The 7,200-nt window shown below is 49.2% G+C and overlaps 1 pseudogene; it reads right to left on the reverse strand.

Moving 5' to 3' along the window:
* Positions 1–2,545: 2,545 nt before the first annotated feature.
* Positions 2,546–2,634, reverse strand: LOC124904715 (uncharacterized; annotated as a pseudogene).
* Positions 2,635–7,200: the final 4,566 nt, after the last annotated feature.

Here is a 7,200-nt window from a genome sequence, read left to right on the forward strand (position 1 = left end):
AAACAATAGCTACTTTCTATAATAGGTATCCTTGTTTTCCAGATAAAGAAACTGAGGCACAACAAAAGGAAGTACCTGCCAAACATTATTAGCAGGTGAAAAGGCAGGATTGAATTCAGGTCTCTTTCTCTAGAGCCTGTGCTCCTCCAGGGCAACAGACAGGGTCTTTCTCATTTCTGGGTCCCCTCACTCACGCCCCCAAGATCTTAGCCGACAATTGGTCCTCGATTCCAGTGGTCCTCAAAGTGTGGTCCGTGGACCATGCAAATCAGCTAACTCCTTGTTCCTAGACCACAGTGAGCTAAGTACCAAAATCCTGAGTAAAAAATTAGAAATGTTTTATAGTAATTTGGAATTGCCACAACATGCAAGGGGTGTGACCTGAAAAGATGGGTCTGAGATCGATTGTAGATAATTTGAGAAACACTGCTCTATTCAGTTATACCTAGAAGGAAGGCATGAGCCGTGGGCCTGCAGAGGAAAGCATGGGGTCTCCAATGGATCCACCACAGGGAGGCAGGTGGGCAGACTGCCCATCCCACCAGTCAGATGGTGGTCTTCACTTGGCCAGCCTAGAGAAGTCTTCCTAGGAACCCCACTATTACCATAAGCCACCGCAGCTGATGAGCCTCTCCCATCTCACAAGAAAGGCAGGCAGGGAGGCACAGGCCCAAGCAGCTCCAGCGCCCAAGGGCTCTTGGTTCTAGTCCAGCTGGATACTGGCTGATCCTGCCCAGGGCCTGCAGACACCTGGCACCGTCCTCCTGGGCCGCACCCACCCCGTGCTTCCACACTGTGCCCAGAGGGAAGATGATGGCTGACACAGACTCGGTGGAAAAGCCACCCCAAAACCAGAATTTATTTTTAAGCTGAGGTGGAAGGTCAGCTGCAGGGACACGCTGCCACCTCCCTTCTTGACATGAGCCTCCTTGAGTTGGCACCAGGATGTAGCATGGCTCCCACCCTTGCTTCCCCTTTGGTTGGACACTCTCCAATGCCAGGGTCATGCACCAACAGAGCAGCTCCAAGAAAGAGCATTTTCCAAAGCCCAGATGACTCAGAGTGGTGAGTGTGACCGGAGGGGAGGTTCAGCACCCAGCTCAGACCTTTGTTTGGGAGTTAACGATTCCTCCATGCTGATTTCACCTGCCTGTTCTATCGTGCCCAGTGCGGTGAAAACATCCCAGATACTCTGTATTACAAGGCCAGCTCTGCAATTTTGCTGAGTAACTGTAGGCTGCTCACATAATCTTTCTGTAATTCAATGAGATGACTGCATTTGGAAAAGGTTGGAGCACCCACATCACAAGCCGATTCTGGGGGCGAACTGAGGTAATGCTGTAAAGCACCTCCTATGCACAGACCCATGGAGCATGGGAGTGGATATGAAGATGCTCCCTCACCCCTTCCAGGAAGCTGGTAGCTGACAAGGACTCAGGCTCAGTCACTTCCAGCTGTGTGACCATGCGTAGGTTTCTCAGCTTCCCTGAGCCTTGATCATCTCATTTATAAAGAACAAAATACCCAACTGGAAAGGCTGGCGGTAGGAGTAAATGCAACTGAATATGCAGAAGAGCGTGGCACACAGTAGGTACTCACTGTATGCTCATTCATTTCACACATATTTATTGTTAATGCTAGGGACTAGGTCAACTAGGTCAGGCATTGAGGCTACTATGGTGAGCAAAGAAAGACATACCCTGTCTCTTCCCTAGGAATTTAGTAAAGGAAGTGAATTGTGAGTGAAACAGATAGGCACACAGATAATCAAATCACAGCTGTGGCACCCACTACAAAGGTGAGGTGCTAAGTGCTAAGTGAAGATGGGACAAGACGTTCAACTCACTTAGTGAAGTCAGGAAGGGCTTCTCTGAGGCAGTGATAATTGAGCCAAGGTCTGAAGCATGAATGGGAAAGCATTCAGGATGAGGAACAACATGTGCCAAGCCCTGTGATGGGGAATCCTAGTTAGTTAAAGGGACTGAAAAGAGGCCAGTGTGGTAAGAGCCCAGAGAGCAAGGTGGGGATGGGGTAAGGGAGGGCTGGAGAGGAGAGGAGAGGCCAGACCTCACAAGCCCTATAGGCCATGCTATGGATTTCAGTCTTAGTCCATATTTTATAATAAATGCGGGTGAGGATTACATGATCATACTTGCCTTCCAAATAGATCCCTCTGGCTGCAGCTTGGAGGTGAAGTGTGTGCACCAACATAATACAGTTAGCTGTTAGGAGACCACTGCTATGCTGCAGATGAGTGATTAAGGAGTTTGAGGCTAAGGTGGTGATGATGGAGATGGAGAGGAGGGGATGGAGGCAGCTGTGTAGGTGAAGTGGAAGGCGCTTTGTGCAGCATTGCCTAAGTGTGTCAGGAACAATTCCTGGTGGTACTACTGGAGCAGAAGTAGGTTTGGGGATAAGCCTATCAGTCTGGTTTTGAACAGATTGAATTTAGGATATTTCTGAGACATCTGAGAGACAATGACCATTTCCCATCAGGTTTGGTGAGAGGTAGCCCACTGGTACCATTTTAAAATAAAGACATTTTAAAAATATGGAACACATCACAAATTTGTGTGTCATCCTTGAGCAGCTGTATCATTCCAATTTCAATGTATGTGCTACTGAAGCAAGCACACCACTGGTACCTTTATCAAGGGTATTTTTAGTGAGTGATGGAGCAAGAAGCTTGTACATGGGAACAAGGACATTTGTGAGTGATGGAGATGTTCATTACCTTTATTATAGTGAGGGTTTCCCAGGTGTATACATATGGCAAAACTCATCAAATAGTACACTTTCAGTATGTGCAGTTCATTGTACATCACTTTTGCCTCCCTAGAGCTGTCAGAAAAGACGAGTGGGAGGTAAGGACATGGAGACAGTGCAGACGGCCCCTGCCTCTGCAGTGGAGATGAGAAACAGAGAGTGAGTGGTTGCTGAGGGAGATGAGAAGGCGACAGAGGTGGCATTTGTTTTTGGTTAAGAAGGTGATTTGGGCTGGGCACGGTGGCCCATGCCTGTAATGCCAGCACTTTGGGAGGCTGAGGCGGGCAGATCACCTGAGGTTAGGAGTTCAAGACCAGCCTTGCCAATATGGCAAAACCCCATCTCTACTAAAAATGCAAAAATTAGCCAGGCATGGTGGTGGGTACCTGTAATCCCAGCTACCCGGGAGGCTGAGGCAGGAGAATTGCTTGAACCCCGGAGGCGGAGGTTGCAGTGAGCTGAGATCGCACCATTGCACGCCAGCCTGGGCAACAGAGTAAGACTCCATTTCAAAAAAAAAAAAAATGTAATTTGACTGTGTATAAAGGCTAGCTGAAAGGATCTTATCTAGAAGTAGAGACAGAAAATCCAAGAGAAGAAGGGATAATAAGAAACATAGGTTCCTGAGGAAAGGGAAAGGGAGGGCACCAGAATCCAGGTGGAGGGTTGGCTTTAGATGAGAGCGACAGCTTCCATGTTGAAACAGAGGAAAAGAGAAGAGGGTAGATGTAGGGGTGTGTGCATGTCTCTGAATGTCTGCATGTGTATGTGTTCACATGCATGTGTGTGCACGCAGGTGTGTGTGCGTGTGTGTGTGTGTGTCAATGGGAGAAGACAAGGGGTGGCATCTTCTTTCTCTGTTAAGTAGAAGGTGGTGTCATCTCTAAGAATAACGGCAGAGGGGTACAGGTTTGAGGAGTGGTGAAGTTTTTTAAGATGCCAATGGATAGTGGTTGATTACTGAGCAGTGTCCAAGGCCCATTCGAAGTGAGGGTCCTGGAGCTATGGGGAAGCCTCTGGCTGTGGTGGGACTGTCTCAGCAGCATTTGGCTTGCCAGGGACAGGCATGGGAGGATGCAGAAGGGGGGGAGTTTGCTTGACCAGTGAGATGAAGACACAGGGAAGAGAACTCATAGCATTGAAAAGACCGTTACTGAGACACTGCACCTCCACGCTGAGCTGTGATAAGGAAGGACATGAGGAAGAAGAGGGTGATGGGCTGGAAGAAAGTAGAGGGCCAGTGGCTGGAGGGGCCTGTGTCGTCAGAGAGCACAAGCGGAGGGATTCATGCAGTTGGTGAGTGGGAAGAGGAGAGGCTGTGGGCAGCTGGCGAGGTGTGGGAGTTAGAGTTTTAGAGCTGGAGTGGTTCTGGCTGTCAGCAGGGTCCACGGTGATGCTGTGGGAGGTGACTGATGACCAATGGGAGAATGAGTGAATCGATTTGTGTGGTCACCTGAGCCATTTTCTTTCTCCAGTTAGCCCAGCAGCCTGTCTGTTTCTCATCCTTTGGTTTACAGCAACTTTGCCCCCAACTCCACGACTTCCTCAGTCTTCTTGTTTTTTTGAGACAGGGTCTCAGCTGGAGTGCAGTGGTGTGAATATGGCTCACTGCAGCCTCGATCTCCTGGGCTCCAGCGATCCTCCCACCTCAGCCTCCCAAGCAGCTGGGGCCACAGGCACACAACACTACGCTTGGTTAATTTTCTAATTTTTTGACGGGGTCTCACTTTGTTGTTCAGGCAGTTCCCGAACTCATGGGCTCAAGCGATCCTCCTGTCTCAGCCTCCTGAAGTGCTGGGATTAGAGGAGTGAACCACCACAGCCAGCCTCTCAGCCTTCTTTCATGTTTTAGCTCAAAACGTCCCTTCTACTGAAAAGCTTTTCCTGAATGCCAAGGGGGTACTTGTGCAAACTAAGCCTCCTCTGATGTGGAGACTCTGCCACCGTCAACACCTGCCACCACGCCTCTTATTCCATGCTCTCCCCATCTGGGTTTCTGTGTGTCCCATCCCCTTATAATTTTTGTTAGTTTTCTTAAGTGGTGACTTGCATCTGCTGGGTGCTCATCAGGCGTCCACTCTGTGCCTTCACATACATTTCCCCATTCTGTCCTCACAGTAATTTTATGAGAAAGTGGCACTGTCATACCCTGTCTCAGATGAAGAAGTTAAGATTGCAGGAGGGTAAGTGACTTGCTCGGAGTGGTATAACCCGGAGTGGTTTTGCTCATCTTTGCATCGCCAACCCCAGAGCAGAAAGGGCGATGGGTGAACCACTCAGTCATTCTGTCTGGTTCTCAACTCCTCACCCTGCCTAAGTTCAGCCGCCTGATACACACTGGATCCTCAGCAGTGGGGTGCACATGGTCCTCACTTCCCCAGAAGCACAGAATCAGGCACAGCAGAGCCCTCTCAGGTGAGCTAGTCCCATTGCCTGGTTCTTGAGACTCCTGTTAAGGACTGAGTGTTTGTGTCCCTCTTAAATTCACTGGAAGCCATAACACCCAATGTGATAGTATTTGGAAACGGAGCTTTGGGGAGATAATTAGGGTTAGATAAAATGGAGAAGTTGTGATGAGATTAGTGACCTTACAAAAAGGGAGAACAGGCCGGGTGCGGTGGCTCAGGCCTGTAATCCCAGCACTTTGGGAGGTCGAGGTGGGTGGATCACGTGAGGTCCGGAGTCGAGACCAGCCTGACCAACATGGAGAAACCCCATCTCTAGTAAAAATACCAAATTAAATGGGCGTGGTGGCACATGCCTGTAATCCCAGCTACTTGGGAGGCTGAGGCAGGAGAATCACTTGAACCCAGGAGGCAGAGGTTGCAGTGAGCTAAGATCACGCCATTGCACTCCAGCCTGGGCAATAAGAGTGAAACTCTGTCTCAAAAAAAATTTTAAAAAGGGAGACCAGACCAGGCGCAGTGGCTCACGCCTGTAATCCCAGCACTTTGGGAGGCCGAGGCAGGTGGATCACTTGAGGTTAGGAATTTGAGACCAGCCTGGCCAACATAGTGAAACCAGGTCTCTAATAAAAATACAAAAATTAGGCTGGGCACGGTGGCTCACGCCTGTAATCCCAGCACTTTGGGAGGCCGAGGCAGGCAGATCAGGAGGTCAGGAGATCGAGACCATCCTGGCTAACACTGTGAAACCCCGTCTCTACTAAAAATACAAAAAAATTAGCTGGGCATGGTGGCAGGTGCCTGTAGTCCCAGCTACTCAGGAGGCTGAGGCAGGAGAATGGCGTGACCCGGGAGGCGGAGCTTGCAGTGAGCCGAGATTACGCCACTGCACTCCAGCCTGGGCGACAGAGCGAGACTCCATCTCAAATAAATAAATAAATAAATAAAAAATAAAAATACAAAAATTAGCCAGGTGTGGTGGTGTGTGACTGTAATCCCAGCTACCTGGGAGACTGAAGCAGAGAACCACCTGAACCCAGGAGGTGGAGGTTGCAATGAGCAGAGATCGTGCCACTGCACTCCAGCCTGGGCGACAGAATGAGATTCTGTCTCTAAATAAATAAATAATAAAAAGGGAGACCAGAGACCTGGTTTTCTATCCCTCCGTGCTCACATACCAAGGAAACATGTGAGGACATCGTGAGAAGGTGGCTTTTGCAAGCAGGAATAGAGCCCTCACCAGAAATGGAATCAGTTGGTACCTTGATCTTGGAATTCCCAATCTTCAGAGCTGTGAGAAATAAATTTCTGTTGTTTAAGTCGGCCAGGCTATGGTATCTTGTCATGGCAGCCCCTAACTAATACAGCCCCTCTTCTGTATTTTCTTTTCTTTTCTTTTCCTTTCTTTTTTTTTTTTTTTTTTTTTTTGAGACAGAGTCTCACTTCGTCAACCAGGCTGGAGTGCAGTGGTGTGATCTCAGCTCACTGAAACCTCTGCCTCCCCAGTTCAAGCGATTCCCCTGCCTCAGTATAATTCCCGAGTAGCTGGAATTACAGGTGTGCACCACCACGCCCAGCTATATATTTTTTTTTATTAGTAGAGACGAGTTTTCACATGTTGGCCAGGCTGGTCTTGAACTCTTGACTTCAAGTGATCCACCCACCTTGGCCTCCCAAAGTGCTGGGATTACAGGCGTGAGCCACCGCGCCCAGCCTGTAACTTCTCAAAGGGGTCATACCTCCTTTGCCCCATGATGGGGAGCTTACAAACTCCCCAAAGCGCCTGTCCACTTTGGAAGAAGAGCTCTGTTAGCAAATTCTTCCTCCTTTGGGGCAGAAACCTGCCCGCTGAAACTTCCACACAACAGTCCCAGCTGTCTTCAAGATTCGCACAGAACAAGACCACGCTGTCTTCCCCGTGCCCCTTCAGGTGTTTTCAGGCAGAGATCACAACCATCTACCCATTTTAGGTTCCACAAGGACAGAGGCTATGTCCGTTTGGTTTATTTCCGAGTCACCGGCACCTTGC

This window comes from Homo sapiens, chromosome 1 (assembly GCF_000001405.40).
Source record: "Homo sapiens chromosome 1, GRCh38.p14 Primary Assembly".
NCBI lineage: Eukaryota > Metazoa > Chordata > Mammalia > Primates > Hominidae > Homo > Homo sapiens.